General features: G+C 41.0%; 1 protein-coding gene across 5 annotated transcripts in view; it reads left to right on the top strand.

Annotated features, from left to right (window-relative positions):
- The window catches only part of USP50 (ubiquitin specific peptidase 50), a 53642-nt gene continuing 40831 nt past the window's right edge, over positions 4417–17227 (top strand). For 4 of the 5 annotated variants that reach the window (XR_007064444.1, XR_007064443.1, XR_007064445.1 and 1 more), the window contains exons 1-4: positions 6069–6496; positions 7290–7485; positions 9819–10034; positions 12232–12374. Coding sequence is in view for 2 of the 5 variants with exons in the window: in XM_047432465.1 (XP_047288421.1) it covers positions 6285–6496; positions 7290–7485; positions 9819–10034; positions 12232–12374 (767 nt within the window). In the remaining 3 variants the exon portion in view is untranslated. Of the gene's footprint in view, positions 4611–6068; positions 6497–7289; positions 7486–9818; positions 10035–12231; positions 12375–17227 lie in introns of those variants that run through there. The other variant, NM_203494.5, reaches the window with a different exon arrangement.

Here is a 17227-nt window from a genome sequence, read left to right as displayed (position 1 = left end):
AGGATTGCTTGATCCCAAGAAATTGAGGCTGCAGTGAGCCGAGATCATGCCATTGCACTCCAGTGAGCAACAAAGCGAGACCCTGTCTCAAAAAACACACACACAAAAAAACATGAAAATATCAGATGCGCACCCATAAAGGATGAGTTCATGTCCTTTGCAGGGACATGGATGAAGCTGGAAACCATCATTCTCAGCAAACAGAAGAACAGAAAACCAAATACCACATGTTCTCACTCATAAGCAGGAGTTGAACAATGAGAACACATGGACACAGGGAGGAGAACATCACACACCGGGGCCTGTCAGGGAGTGGGGAGCTAGAGGAAGGATAGCATGGGTGCAGCAAACCACCATGGCACACATATACCTATGTAACCTGCACGTTCTGCACATGTATCCCAGAACTTAAAGTATAATTTAAAAATAAATAAATAAAATATCAGATGTAATCCATTGAACAAAACGGGAATTTGTGAGTCCATGCTGATTAAAATAAAAGAATAAATGGAGACAGCCAGGTGCGGTGGCTCACGCCTGTAATCCCAACACTTTGGGAGGCCAAGGTGGATTGCTTCGAGCTCAGGAGTTCAAGACCAGCGTGGGCAACGTGGCAAAACCCTGTCTCTACAAAAATTACAAAAATTATCCAGGCATTGGTGGCGTGCACCTGTAGTCCCAGCTACACAGGAGGCTGAAGCTGGAGAATCGCTTAAGCCTGGGAAGTGGAGGTTGCAGGAAGCTGAGATTGTGCCACTGCACTCCAACCTGGGGGACAGTGAGACCCTGTCACAAAAAAAAAAAAAAGAAATGGAGAAACTTCTCTTTATAGTCGAGTACCAACAGATGAATGTAGTCAGAATAATGATATTAGAAAATCACCACTTGGCAATCACCATAGCAAAAATCCAGCCAAGAAACATCAATTACTAAAACTAATGTATGAAAGTTTGATGAGGAACAGACCATTTACACAGTCTCAAAGTCCTCCCTGCAAAATGCTTCCTGATGATTACAAAAGGAAAAACTACATTGGAGAAACCTGGGAGACCCTACCTCATTCAAGTTATCACAGTTAATCACAGTTCACATAACCAGTGCTGGGACAAATCAAAATTGTATAACATTTAATACAATGCAATAAGAATATAGCTTCACTTCTGTGATATTCTTCATAAAAATGCATAATGTGAATCTAATGAGGAAACATCAGAGAACATAGTTCCCCTAATGTTCTTTTATGGCAATTTTTTTTTTCTGATCTGGGATTCAGTCCGGATAGATGTAGCTCCTGAATAGAAATTAAGGGATATTCTTCACAATAATTGGTCAGTAATCTTCAAAAGTCAAGTTCATGAAAATCAAGGAAATACATAGAACCGTTTCAGGTTGAAGGAGCCTAAAAGGGACATGAAAACTAAATGCAATGTGAGATCCCAGCTAAACTATATCTGGTTTTCCTTTTTGAGTTTTGTTTTGTTTTGTTTTGAGACAGTCTTGTTCTATTGCCCAGGCTAGAGGGCAGTGGCATGATCTTGACTCACTGCAATTTCCGCCTCCCAGGTTCAAGGGATTCTCGTGCCTCAGATTCCAGAGTAGCTAGGATTACAGGCCCGTGCCACCATGCCCAGCTATTCTTTTTGTATTTTTAGTAGAGACAGGGTTTCGCCATGTTGGCCAGGCTGGTCTCTAACTCCTGGCCTCAAGTGATCTACCCGCCTCAGCCTCCCAAAACGCTGGGATTGCAAGTGTAAGCCACCACTCCTGGCTTTTGGGGTTCTTTTTGAGACAGGGTCTCTGTCACCCAGGCTGGAGTGCAATGGCACAATCACAGCTCACTGCAAGCATGACGTCCTGGGCTCAAGTGATCCTTCCACCTTGGCTTCCTGAGTAGCTGGAACTACAGTCATACACCACCATGCCCGGCTAATTATTATTATTATTTTTTTTGGTAGACGGAGGGTGGAGAGTGGGGTGGGGGGGAATGGGGGTGGGGGTGGGGGATATTCTCACTGTGTTGCCCAAACTGGTCTTGAATTCCTGGACTCAAGCGATTCTCCTACCTCGGCCTCCCCAAGTGCTGGGATTACAGGCATGAGCCACCACACCCAGCCCCATGTCTGGTTTTAAACTAAGCTTAGTAGTTTGTTATAGAGCACAGAATATTAACACATAGATAATCTAACTCATGAACATAGATACAAAACCCTTGAACAAAAAGATTAACAACTAGAACCCAACAATTCACGAAAATAATAACTACAGCTCAAACAAAATATACCTGAGGAATAGAAGATTAATATGTGACCATCATTGATAATGAACAACAATAACAGAATAAGAAAGAAAATCTCATGATTACCTCAATAAATACAGAGAAATCTGGTCATACTCACTATCCATTCATGATTACAACTCTTCAATACTATGTCTGCAAACATCATACTTAATGGTGAATTATCCAAAGCTTTCTCTCTGAGTTAAGCAATTAGCTATCTCCACTTCTATTCACTATTTTACTATGTTCACAATTTTTCACTATTTTCACTATTTTACTGGCAGTCCTCACTAGTAAAGAAGAAGTAAGACTCAGAAAAAAATTAAACTGATTTTGTTGCAGACAACTTGAATGTGTTTATAAAAAATCCAAAGAACCTATGTAAAAATTAGACTTAAGTAAGTCAAGTTAGGCCATACTCAGGGGCTCACATCTGTAATCCTAGCACTTTGGGAGGGTGAGGTGGGAGGATTGCTTGAGCCCATGAGTTCGAGACCAGCCTGGGCAACATAGCGAGACCCTGTCTCTATTTAAATAAAAATTAAAAAATTAAAGAGTAAGTCAGGTTAGAAAGGTTCCTGGATAGACAACCAACATATGACAAATAATTGTATTTTTACCTACCAGCATCAAACACAAAATGAAACTTTTAAAAGACCCTATTGATTAGGAGAAAATGAAGGACTTGGGAGAGCCTCACTGACAAATAGAGCAAGTTTACAGGATTTAAGTCCTGCAGAACCACCACTGAGGTGACTTGGAGAGATACCTCTGTAAATACATCGCAAATATCAAATACCTGCAAGAGAGGACAGCTCTACTTGCCAGGATTCCTTATCCAGGTGTCAAAGAATGAATATTCTAAATATCTTCGTGTAGCCTGAGCATATATGTGGGTTTTTTTTAACCATTTAGACATAAGTTGGGGTGCATACTATGGATTCCTCAACACCTTGCTTTTTTTGACTTACCAGTCATATATCTGGAGAGAAATCCATTTTAGCAAAAAATATGTGTAATATATTCTTTCTTTTTAATTTTTTTTTTCTTTTTTTGAGACCGAGTCTTCGCTTTGTTGCCCAGGCTGGAGTGCAGTGGCGCGATCTCGGCTCACGGCAAGCTCCGCCTCCCGGGTTCACGTCATTCTTCTGCCTCAGTTTCCCGAGTAGCTGGGACTACAGGCGCCCGCCACCACGCCCAGTTAATTGTATTTTTAGTAGAGATGGGGTTTCACCGTGTTAGCCAGGATGGTCTCTGTCTCCTGACCTCGTGATCCTCCCGCCTCAGCCTCCCAAAGTGCTGGGATTACAGGCGTGAGCCGATGCGCCCGGCCTCTTTTTAATTTTTTAAACTTGCAGAAGAGTTGCAAGAATAGTGCTCTTTAGTGGGCCTTCACTCGGAATCACCAACTGCTGGCGTGTGGGTGCACTGGCTTTATAGTATGTGCTTTATCAGTCCCCTTCCTTCCTGTCCTCCTGTCCCTGTGTGCTTCCTGAACCGTTTGAAAATAGGTTGCATATATCATGCCCCTGTGCCCCGAAAAACTTCAGTGTGTATTTTCTAAGAACAAGGGCATCCCCTTGCATAAACACAGTACAATCTTATCAAATTCAGAAGATTCAACATTAATAGAAAAAACTATCTGCATATTATCCATATTCAAATTTCATCAATCGTTCCCATAATGTTCTTTTATGGCAATTTTTTTTTTCTGATCCGGTATTCAGTCCGGATAGATCTAGCTCCTGAATAGAAGTGGAAATCCTCGCTCCCCGGGGTGAGGAAATTCCCTCAGGGCTCCTAGGTGTGGTGTAGTCGCTGGGAAGGGGGAATGAGTGCCCAGAGCAGGCAGGGTTGCCGTAGTGTCCACTAACTCAGTGGCGGTAAATTTTTGTGCACATGTTAAGTGTGTGTGTGTGTATGTGTAATATATATATACACAAGAGAAACTGAGTGATGGAAGAAGGAAGAGAGGTTATATGTGTAGTTCATTCTCTGGAGCCTAATCTTTCTAAAACATTTCAGACAACCCAGTAACAGTGTCTCATGGCAACATGATAGAATCTTGAAGGTGAATGGAAAGGATTATGATGTACGGAAAATCCAAGTTGGAGTGGTGCCTGATACAGGTGAAAATCAGTTCGCAGCTACTGGAAGAGAGAGGAGCATATCAATTGTTTAAAACAAAAAGCCAGCGTTAACAGGCTCAGAGAAATGAAGTTGAAAGGAATAGATGTAGCTCCTGAATAGAAGCAAAAGTCCAACGTGGTTCCATTAAAATGACTTCTCAGCCGTCTCTCCCTGCAGATGACTTCGATATCTACCACGTCCTGTGAGCCTTGATCTACTACAGCTTTCTAGATTAGCCCAGTGGTGGGAAAGTCAAGCTCAGAGGAGTCAGGGGACACACACTGCATTCAGGAGGGTTCTCCCAGGTGTGACCCATGGAAGGTCCCCGGAAAGGAAGGAAGATTGTACCTAATATCTTGGCAATAAATACATGTCCTTCCTAAAGGGTGACAGTCTAGGACCTCCTGTGGTATCAGTGAGTAAAAGTGAAAATGACCATGCTTATAACAGTGAACACTTTTCAAACTGGCATAACTGTACTTAAAAGTATGTATGAGGTAAGGTCACTGTCTCATGGAGCCCCAACTTTAGATACAATATATGGAAAGAAAAATCCGAGAGGACATAGATACCAGGCTGCCTGGCACAATACAAAAAATTGTAAGAGGAAGCTCTGTGCAGGGAGAGGAGGTCCCGTTTGGAACCCTCAGTGTTCTCTCTGTGCAGGCAGGTCTGGGCAATTCACATGAACACTCTAATCCTGTAGCTTACTGGGAAGGACATCCTAGATCAATCACTTAAAAAAATTTTTCAGTTGTCATTTAGACGAACCTGTGTCAAGTAGCTTGCATGATACCTGCATAATCCTCACAACCATCCTATCAGGCAGATGATATTATTCCTATTTTATAGATGAGAAACGGACATAGAATCCCAGATCCTATAATTAATAAACGGCATAGTTGGGATTTAAACTAAGATCTATATTTTTACAAAGTCTGTGCTCTTTCTCCTCTCCGTGTATATGTGTGTGTGTGTGTTTATATGTATATAGCTATATACATACACATATACACATATGTGTGCTCTTAAGATATATATATTCATGCTCTTAATGTGCATATATTATGCCTTCAATATATATGCCATACATACATATATATACAAATATATACATATATATCACATATATAGAGACAATCTTAATATATATAGACAATCTTAATATATGTAAATCCAAATATCTTAATGGATAGGTATGTTGGGAGAGAGGGAGGGAGGTAAACAGATAGGTGGATATTCCTTTTTTTACATACCACCACACACCCCATGAGTAAATGACTACATCATTTAAACCTGACATCTCATCTGTAAAATGGGATGTAAAAATAATCGTTCCTGCCTTACACAATTGTTGAAAGATTTAATGGGAAAATGCATGTTAAGTACTTAAATAGTGCCAGGCTCACTACCTGATAGCTATTGTTTTATTAACTATTAATAATAATAATAATAATTTAATTACTTGCCCAGCAAGTTGTCAGTTGTCTTGCTTTAGTTTTAGAAGGAAATTTTTATCTGTCTTATTTGGCTTCAGGTACTTGTTCACAGTTCTGGTCTAAGTTATGTAATTTTGTTTTTAATTTAATTTATTTATGTAATAGAGACAAGATCTCACTATGTTACCCTGGCTGGTCTCAAACTCCTGGCCTCAAGCAATCCTCCCACCTCGGCCTCCCAAAGGGCTGGGATTACAGGTGTGAGCCACTATGCTCTGCCATAATACAATTTTAGACTCCAAGTTCCAATACTTCCTGTCCTTGGTAGGGAATGTGTTTGGAGGAAGTCTTATTAAGAACTCTTCTTTATTTCATAATATTAAGAGAAGCTTATTGTCATTTGTACATATTTTGTTCTCTCAAAACCCTTTCTTCCCATGTGGCACCAACACAGTGCAGAGTGCACAGATTACTATGATACCCTTCCAGTTAAGGAGGCTGATGGGAACCAGCCCCATTTTCAGGGTGTCACTGGCTTGTGGAACTTGGGCAACACATGCTGCGTGAATGCCATCTCACAGTGTCTCTGCAGCATCTTGCCGCTGGTGGAATACTTTCTCACCGGGAAGTATATCACCGCTCTGCAAAAGTAAGACCATTTGCATTCCCTGCAGCCCAGCCCCCACCCCCACTTCCCCACAGATGAGGTTAGAGAAGGAACTCTGGAATCCCTATTAAGAGATAAACAAACAAGTCAGTAGAGGTTGTAGCTTCCCAGATAACACGCTAGAGTAAGTAAAAGTGGGAAGGGCAACCAAGAAATGAATGCAGCTCCTTTTTTTTTTATTTTTTATTTTTTTTTATTGTTGTTGTTGAGCCAGGGTCTCGTTCTGTTGCCCAGGCTGGAGTGCAGTGGTGCGATCTTGGCTCCCTGCAACCTCTGTTCCTCGGGTTCAAGTGACCCTCCTGCCTCAGCCTCCTGAGTAGCTGGGATTACAGGCACGCGCCACCATGCCTGGCTAATTTTTTTTGTATTTTTGTAATTTTTTGTATTTTTAGTAGAGACGGGGTTTCACCATGTTGGCCAGGCTGGTCTTGAGCTCCTGGCCTCAAGTGATCCACCCCTCCCAACCTACCACCTCGGCCCCCCAAAGTGCTGGCATTACAGGTGTGAGCCACTGAGCCTGGCATCCTTTTTTTTCTTTTAGACAGTCTTGTTCTGTCACCCAAGCTGGGGTGAAGTAGTGGTATGATCACAGCTCACTGCAGCCTCGACCTTCTGGGGGCTCAAGCTATCCTCCTGCATTGGCCTCCCAAAGTGCTGGGGTTACAGGCATGAGACACCACGTTCTTCCATTTTGAGACTAATTTCCTAGGCTTGGGTGATTAGGTGCCTTCTTTTCATTAAATCAGCCAGAAACATATCCCTTTCTTCTTCCAAGCGATTGCAGTGAAGTTGCCACTGCTTTTGCCTATCTGATGACAGACATGTGGCTGGGAGACTCAGACTGTGTCTCACCAGAAATATTCTGGTCAGCTCTTGGCAACCTCTACCCAGCATTTACGAAAAAGATGCAACAAGATGCTCAGGAATTCTTGATTTGTGTCCTAAATGAACTTCATGAAGCTCTAAAAAAGGTAAGTAGAGTTAATGACCTTGAAATAGGATAGTCCTGAACCTTTATCAGCAGCTTCCATTTTTCATTCTTTTACTTGTTCAATTAATATTGTCTACTTTGTGCCAAGCACTGTGCTAGGTGTCCCATGGAGAACATCCAAGTTAGTATTTGAATGTGTAGCTGTATTTACCAAACTTACTTGTCATCAGAATCATCTGGGAAGATTTTACAACACAGATTTTAAGGCAAATACTCCAAGGGTAATTAATTAGAATGTCTTTTGGGAAAGCTTACTTGGCATTTCCAGTGGTCAGCTAGGCTTTGGAAACACTAATCTACTTTTCTTTGTAAATAGAGGCTGAATGGACTAGTTTTTAAAAGTGCAAAATATATTCCTCATGAGAAATAACATATAGAACTTTATAGCTTAAATTTTCTTGGGACCTACAAATCCATGAAAATATTAAGCTTGATATTAGATTAAGCAACAGATCTACGCACTACAAAGTTTCATCCTCATACCAAACATACCTAACCTGAGTTCATCACCGAATTAGGACATACATTTCATTAAACATGAAATCATCAGTTACTCTAGAGGTTTTGCCTTTATTTACAAAACTCACTGCCCTTAGCCTTGGTCTGAGACCCACATTCTCTGAAAATGTGTCCTTGACTTTATGCAACATCCTTCTGCTAACATTACCTCACTGCACCTCTAATACCCAGGGAATGGTTAGCATAAAGGTTGCAAACTATAGCTATTAATTGTTCTCATTGGCAGATCTCAGTTCCATTTTTCATTTAGAGTAATAAAAAAGTACTCATGGCCAGGCGCTGTGGTTCGCGTCTGTAATCCTAGCACTTTAGGAGGCTGAGGTGGGTGGATCACTTGAGGTCAGGAGTTCAAGACCATCCTGGCTAACACGGTGAAACCCCGTCTCTACTAAAAATACAAAAATCAGCCAGGCGTGGTGGCAGGAGCCTGCAGTCCCAGCTACTCGGGTGGCTGAGGCACAAGAATCGCTTAAACTCAGGAGGCGGAGGTTGCAGTGAGCCGAGATCATGCCACTGCACTCCAGCCTGGACGACAGAGCAAGACTCCGTCTCCAAGAAAAAAAAAAAAAAAAAAAAATGAAAAGGAAAAAAAAAAACAAAAACATATTCATGGCAGCACTTTTTTAAGAAAAGAGGTGAGTGGGCAGTAAAAATCACTTATGTCCTCTTCTACAGCCAATCTGAAACAAACAGCATTCTGTTTCCCAAGATCAAAGTAGGAATTAGGGGAATTAAGTTACTGTCAGGGTGGAAGACTTTGGCAGCAGAGTGTGATGAAAGGAGCAAGCAAAAATGGAATGCTGAGCACAGCCCCAAATTAGAGCCAGCTGTGGAGCTAACACATCTTCAAAATGTATATTCCACTGAGGCTCTTAAATCACTGAAAATTCAGGGTGTGCCCCAGAAATGCTGTTGCTGAGTATGAGCTGGATCCAAACCAGGCCACAAGGCTAGTTCCACCAGGCTGCCTTAGAAATTTAAGATTTGCTCTCTTATCTTTTTTTTTTTTTTTTAATTAACCTTGTAGAGACAGGATTTTGTTATGTTTCCCAATCTGATCTCAAACTCCTCCCGCCTCAGCCTCCCAAAGCACGACGATTACAGATGTTAGCCACCATGCCTGGCCAAGATTTGCTCTTTTAAAAAAGTGTTTTCTAGAAGTTAAAGGAGTAAAGGCTGCAGAATGTAACCTGAAGGGACTGGAGACAGGAAAGATTGGATTTCTTAATATTTTACCTTTAGATCTGCTTGAGTGAACTAATGCTAATTTAGCTTACTTACCCCCTTCCAGAAAAAACTAGCTCCCAAGGCTGGTAGCTTATGGGGCCATGGGTATATGTTTTACCAGAGTTAGACTGTCATCATTCCTCTGTTTCATCTAACGGGAAAATATCTGAATTATCAGAAATCACACATGATATATATACTTTCAAGGATATCTTACTCTATTGTCTGAATCCAAAACTAAGTGGTTTCTGGTAGCAATGTCTCATTCTGATAGAAAAAAAAATCAGTCATTTTATTGAAAACTTTTCCTTTTTTTTTGGAAACATGGTCTCACTCTGTCACCCAGGCTGGAGTGCAGTAGTGCTAACACGGCTCACTGCAGTCTCAAACTCCTAGGCTCAACTGATCCTCCAACCTCAACCTCCCAAGTAGCTGGCACCACAGATGTGTGCCACCATGCCTAGCTAATTTTTTGTTTTTTTTGTAGAGATGGGATCTCACCATGTTGCCACAGTCTTTTTTAAATAACCAATAATTAATTTGGGTGAAATTTGCTCCTTGATTCAGTACCACTACTCCCGGAGAAGATCATATGAGAAAGGATCTACTCAGAGATGCTGCAGGAAGTGGATTACCACTGAGACATCCATCATCACCCAGCTGTTTGAAGAGCAGCTCAATTATAGCATCGTATGTTTAAAGTGTGAGAAATGCACCTACAAGAACGAAGTCTTCACTGTCTTCTCACTCCCCATTCCATCCAAATATGAATGCTCCCTTCGGGTAGGAATGCAGTATTCCTGGACACTTTGTCTCGCTATACTCTCAGCCCCGGATTTTCTCGGGGCTGTTTCCTACATTTGTTTAGTATGAGAGACGGCTTTATAACTTTAATTTAAAAAAAAATAGACTGAGTGCGGTGGCTCATGCCTGTAATCCGAGCACTTTTGAAAGCCAAGGCAGGCGGATCACCTGAGGTCAGGAGCTCAAGACCAGCCTGGCCAACATGGTGAAACCCTGTCTCTACTAAAAATACAAAAATTAGTTGGACATGGTGGCGGGCACCTGTAATCCCAGCTATTTGGGAGACTGAGCCATAAGAATCGCTTGAACCTGGGAGGCGGAGGTTGTTGTGAGCCAAGATCGCACTACTGCACCCCAGCCTGGGTGACAGAGTGAGTCTCTGTCTCAAATAAGTAAATAAATAAATAAAAGAAAGAGGAAGTCCATGATGACAGTATTTTTTTTTATAGGGACATACTGGCCAAAAGTTCCTAGGAATTCAATCATATTTTTAAATGTACTCAACGAAATAGCCTGACTGTAAAATTGGAAATATAGTGGGGTTTATTGAGTCTATTGAGGTAGATTTGTGCATAAAAGAAATTTATAATTTCTTGCAAAAAGTTTATGACCCTCCCTTACCCCAGAGGTCTGTAAGGCCCAGATTGGGAACTAGATATAAAACATTCTAGACTCTTAGACTTGAGCTCTTATATTTTGGACTAAAGTTGTGAAATGTTTTGGAAAGAGAGAATGGAATCTAGTGCCTTGGTTTACCTCTCAAATTTTCTTCACCACAACGCCAAAAGTTAATCTGTAACTGGGGATGTGGGCATGGGGTGGGTGGCAGTAGAAGACAGCCAGCAATAAGGAGCAAACAAGGGGCGGACAGCAATAAGTTTTCTTGCAGAATTATGCAAATTTACATTTTTTCTTCCTAAATTACGAAAGCACATTTTATTGCTAAAAGTTTTACCTACCAGAATTGGAGAATAGAATCCTATTACTTATTCAGCACTGGGCTTTGTTTCTCAGCTCAAACTGCTAAAGATTGTTGGAAAGAAATTCCTGACACTCTAAGTAAGGTGCTAGTGGCTCCTCTGCAAACAAAATCTGCGCTCTTCTTCTTCTTCCAGTTAATGGTTTGCAGAACCAAGGAGCTGGCCACACTGAGGATCTCTCCTATGGATATGGGGTCTAATTTATCCCTGTTCTGCTATCTTTATTATGGGCCACCCCCAAACCCTGAGAGTCATTTTTGTCACCGGATCATTTTAGCAATGAGATGAATAGCATAAAGCAGCTGCCTGATTTCACTGCTGAAAACTGCAAAGTAGCTGGGCATGGAGGCTCAAGGCTGTAATCCCAGCACTTTGGGAGGCCAAGGCGGGCGGATCACGAGATCAAGAGATCGAGACTATCCCGGCCAACATGGTGAAACCCCATCTCTATGAAAACTACAGAAATTAGCTGGGTGTGGTGGCACGCGCCTGTAGTCTCGGCTACTTGGAGGCTGAGGCAGGAGAATCGCTTGAACCCAGGAGGTGGAGGTTGCAGTGAGCCAAGATCGTGCCACTGCACTCAGCCTGGCGACAGAGGGAGACTCCGTCTCAAAAAAAAAAAATTGCAAAATCAGTATTATTCTGAAAAAAAAAAACAGAAAAGTTAAAATGCTGATGTATAGGCTGGGTGTGGTGGCTTAATACCTGTAATCTCAGCACTTTGGGAGGCCAAGGTAGGCAGATCACCCCATTTCTACTAAAAATATAAAGATTAGCTGGGCTTGGTGGTGCGCACTTGTAATCCCAGCTCCTCAGGAGGCTGAGGCAGGAGAATCACTTGAACTGGGAGGTGGAGGTTGCAGTGAGCCGAGATCATGCCACTGCACTCCAGCCTGTGTGACAGAGCGAGACTCCATCTCAAAAAAAAAAAAAACAAAACCAAAAAAAACTGATTTCTAGATTATAAGTGAGGTAGGCACTCAAATCCATCTCAGTAACAAGAAAGAAACACCTTCTAGGTGGATTTTACAGGTATCTGGCTGCAGCTAGTGAGACTGTTGTCTTCTGGATTTGTTGACTTTGAGAAAAGCACTGAGAACTACATTTCCACGGCATTTGCAAAGTTCCAATAGAAACAGAGAGTGCAGGTTGCAGTTGATCCAATTTGGTCACCAAATCCTTTTTTTCCTTAACAGGACTGTCTCCAATGTTTTTTTCAACAAGACGCACTGACCTGGAACAACGAAATTCACTGCTCCTTTTGTGAAACCAAGCAAGAAACTGCTGTGAGGGCCAGTATTTCCAAAGCACCAAAAATAATTATTTTCCACCTAAAAAGGTATGGATTTTTACATTTTTGTGGGCACATATTTTCGAACAGCCTTATAGAGATAAAATTCACATGCCAATAATTCACCCATTTAGAGTATACAATTCAATGATATTTGGTATATTACATTATTGTTTTTAAATTGTGATAAAATATATACAGCATAACACAAAACTGTGCCATTTTAGCAATTATAATCATACAATTCATTGACATTAATTATTCACAATGTTGTGCAACAGTCATCACTATTTCTAAAACTTCTTCCTCACCCACACAGAAACTCTGTAACCTTTAGTAACTCCACATTCCTGCTCCCCCTAGTCCCTGGTAAGATACTTCAATGAAGGTCTGTTAAAGTCTTTGGCGTATTTTAAAAATTGGGTTGTTGGTTTTCTTTTCTTTTCTTTTTCTGTCTTTTTTTTTTTTTTTTTTTTTTTTTTTGAGACAGTCTCACTCTGTTGCCAGGCTGGAGTGCAGTGATGTGATCTCAGCTCACTGCAACCTCCACCTCCCAGGTTCAAGCAATTCTTCTGCCTCAGCCTCCCAAGTAGCTGGGACTACAGGTGCACGCCACCGCACCCAGCTAATTTTTTTTGTATTTTTGGTAAACATGGGGTTTCACCATGTTGGCCACGATGGTCTGATCTCTTGACCTCATGATCCACCCACCTCGGTCTCCCAAAGTTTTGGGATTATAGGCATGAGCCCCCACGCCTGGCCAGGTTGTTGGTTTTCTAATTGCTGAGTTTTAAGACCCTTCCCTTCCCTTCCCTTCCCTTCCCTTCCCTTCCCTTCCCTTCCCTTCCCTCCCCTTCCCTCCCCTCCCCTCCCCTCCCCTCCCTCCCCTCCCCTCTTTTCTTCAGTCTCTTGCTTTGTCACCCAGGCTGGAGTGCAGTGGTGAAATCTTGGTTCTTGCAGCCTCCACTTCCCTAGTTCAAGCCATTCTCCTGCCTCAGCCTCCAGAGTAGCTGGGACTACAGGCACCCGCCACCACGCCCAGCTAATTCTTATTTTTTTTGGTAGAGACAGGTTTTCACCATGTTGCCCAGGCTGGTCTTGAACTCCTGAGCTCAGGCGATCTGCCCACCTCGGTCTCCCAAAGTGCTTGGATTATAGGCATGAGCCACTGTGCCTGGCCAAGTTTCTTGTATATTTTCAATAGCAGTTCTTTACCAGATGTGTCTTTTTTTTTTTTTAGTCCATGGCTTGTTTTTTATTCTCTTGACAGTGTTTTGTAGAGCAGAAAATTTTGACTGTAATGGAGTCCAGCTTATCAATTCTTTTGTAAAGCAGGCCTTTCGTGTTGTAGCTAAAAAGTCATTGCCAAACACAAGATTATCTAGATTTTCTCCAGTGTTATCTTCCAGGAGTTTTGTAGTTTTCTGTTTTACATTTTGGTCTGTGATCCATTTTGAGTTAATTTTTGTGAAGGGTGTAAGGTTTGTGTGTGGATTCTTCTTCTTCTTCTTTTTTTTTTCGCGTGGATATCCAGTTGTCCTAGCACCATTTGTTGAAAAAGGTCATCTTTTCTCCATTGTATTACCTTTGTTCCTTTGTCAATGATCAGTTGATTATATCTTTGTGGGTCCCTTTCTGAGCTCTCTTGTCTATACCATTATTTTTCTATTTTTTTCACCAATACCACATTGTCTTGATTATTCTGGTTTTAAAATAAGTTTTGAAGTTTGGTAATGTCAGTCCAATTATGTTTTCCTTCAGTATAGTTTTGGCTACTCTGGATCTTTTACCTCACCCCATAAACTTTAGAATCATTTTGTCAATATCCACAAAATAAGTTGCTGGGATTTTGATTGGGATTGCATTGTATTTACAGATCAAGTTGGGAAGAACTGACATCTTGACAATATTGAAGCTTCTTATCCATGAATATAGAATATATCTCTCTATTTAGGTTCCTCTTGGATTTCTTTCATGAGAATTTTCTAGTTTTCCTTCTATAGGTCTTGTACATATTTTGTTAATTTTATAACTAAGTATTTCATTTTTGAGGGTGCTAATGTGAATGGTATTGTGTTTTTTTTTAATTCATTTTAAATTAAATTAAAATTTTTTTGAGATGGAGTCTTGCTCTGTTGTCCAGGCTGGAATGCAGTGGCACGATCTCGGCTCACTGCAGTCTCTGCCTCCCAGGTTCAAGTGATTCTCCAGTCTCAGCCTCCTGAGTAGCTGGGATTATAGGCATGCACCACCATACCCGACTAGTTTTTGTATTTTCAGTAGAGACAGGGTTTCGTCATGTTGGCCAGGCTGGTCTTGAACTCCTGACCTCAGGTGATCCACCCACCTTGGCCTCCCAAAGTGCTGGGATTACAGGTGTGAGCCACCATGCCCAGCCATATTTTTAATTTTGAATTCCATTTGTTCAAAGCTGATGTGTAATATACTTTTTGTATATGAATCTTGTATCCTACAATCTTGCTATAATTGTTTATTATTTCCAAGAGGTTTTTTTGTTGATTCCTTCAGATTTTCAACATATACAATCATGTCATCTGTAGACAAAGACGGTTTTATTTCTTACTTCCCTGTCTCTATACCTGTTATTTTCTTGTCTTTCTTATTGCATTAGCTAGGTCTTCTAATACAATGTTGAAAAGTAGTGGTGAGGGGACATCCTTGCCTTGCTCCTGACTGTAGTGGGAAAGCTTCTAGTTACTCACCATTAAGTATGATGTTACTGTAGATTATTTGTAGACATTCTTTATTAAGTTGAAGAAGTTCTCCTCTATTCTTAGTTTACTGAGAGTTTTTATCATGATGGGTATTGGATTTTGTCAGACACTTTTTCTGTGTCTGTTGATTTGATTGTGTGTGTGATTTTTTTTCCTTTAACCTAATTATGTGATAGATTTCATTAATTTTTCCAATGTAGGACCAGCTTTGCATACCTGGGATAAAGGTATGTAGCTAGGACCATGCCCAGCTAATTTTTAAAATTTTTTTGTAGAGTTGATGTCTCACTATGTTGCCTAGGCTGGTCTTGAACTCCTGGGCTCAAGAGATTCTCCCACCTTGGCTTCCCAAAGTGCTGGAATTACAGGCGTGAGCCACTGTGCCCAGCCCATTTTGAAATTTCTTTCAAGCTATCTTCTTTGACTTGTGTTATTTAGAAGTGTGTTGCTTAATCTCCATGTATTTGGGGATTTCCTAATTATCTTTCTGTTATTTCTAGTTTAATTCCATTGTGGTCTGAGAGCAGAGATTGTATGATTTCTATTATTTTAAATTTGTTAAAGTGTGTTTTAACAAGCACACCTTAGGCCAGAAGGTCTAACTTACCCTTATTTAGCCTAGCTAGAGGCTTGGTGAATGTTCCATGTGAGCTTGAGAATAATATATATTCTGCTGTTGTTGGGTGAAAGAGTCTACAGATGTCAATTACATCTATGGACAGATGGTGTCGTTGAGTTTAACTATGTCCTTACTAATTTTTTGCCTGCTGGATCTGTCCATTTCTGACAGAGGTGTGTTGATATCTCCAACTATAAAAGTGATTCATCTATTTCTCCTTGCACTTCTATCAATTTTTGTGTGTGTGTGTGTGTGTGTGTGTGTGTGACAGAGTTTCACTCTGTTGCCCAGGCTGGAGTGCAGTGGTGCCGTCTTGGCTCACTGCAAACTCTGCCTCCTGGGTTTAAGCAATTCTTGTGTCTCAGCCTCCAGTAGCTGGGATTACAGGTGCGTGCCACCACACCTGGCTGGTTTTTGTATTTTTAGTAGAGACAGGGTTTAGCCATGTTGGCCAGGCTGGGCTTGAACTCCTGACTTCAAGTGGCCCGCCCACCTCGGCCTCCCAAAATGCTGGGATTACAGGCATGAGCCACGGTACCCAGCCAGTTTTTCCTCATGTATTTTGACCCTTTGTTGTTAGGTGCATATATGTTAATAATTTCTATGTCTTCTTGAAAAAGTGATCCCTTTATCATTATGTATGGCCCTTTTTATCCTCAATCACTTTGCTTTGAAGACTGCTCTGTCTGAAATTAATATAGCTACTCCCACTTTCTTAGTGGTAGGATGGTATATTTTCCTCTGTTTACTTTTAGGCTCTGTGTGTCTTTATATTTCAAGTATGTTTCTTGTACACAGTACACAGTTGAATTTTGTTTTTGATTCACGGATTAAAACAATCTGTGTTTTAATTAATGTATATAGACCATCGACATTCAAAGTGATTGTTGATGCCGTTGGGTTAAATATCTGTTGTATTTGTTACTGCTATTTGTTGCCCTTGTTCTTGGTGTTCCTGTTTTTATCTACCACTCTTTTCCTGCTTTTTGTGGTTTTACTGAGCATCTTATATGACTCCATTTTCTCTCCTTTATTACCACATCAGTTATACTTTTTAAAACATTTGTTAGTGGTTGCCCTAGAGTTTGCAATATACATTTACAACTAATCCTGGTCCACTTTCAAATAATACCATACTGCTTTCCTTGTATCACTGCTGTCATTCATTTCACTTATATATAAAGATACACAAGAATATATATGATATATGCATAAGCATACATAATTGAATATATTGTCCCTATTATTGTTTTGAATAAACTGTTATTAATAATAAGAAAAATAAAAGTTTTCATTTTACCTTCACTTATTCCTTCTTCAGTGCTTTTTATGTAGATCCAAGTGTTTGACCTATATCATTTTCCTTCTCTGTAAACGATTTCTTTTAACATTTCTTTTTTTTTGAGATGGAGTCTCACTCTGTTGCCCAGCCTGGAGGGCAGTGGCATGATCTCGGCTCACTGCAATCTCTGCCTCCCAGGTTCAAGCGATTCTCCTGCCTCAGCCTCCCGAGTAGCTGGGACTACAGGCCCACACCACCATGCCAG

The sequence above is a fragment of the Homo sapiens genome, chromosome 15, assembly GCF_000001405.40.
Source record: "Homo sapiens chromosome 15, GRCh38.p14 Primary Assembly".
NCBI lineage: Eukaryota > Metazoa > Chordata > Mammalia > Primates > Hominidae > Homo > Homo sapiens.
The sequence above is the reverse complement of the archived record's forward strand: the minus strand, read 5'-3'. Positions and strand labels throughout refer to the sequence as shown.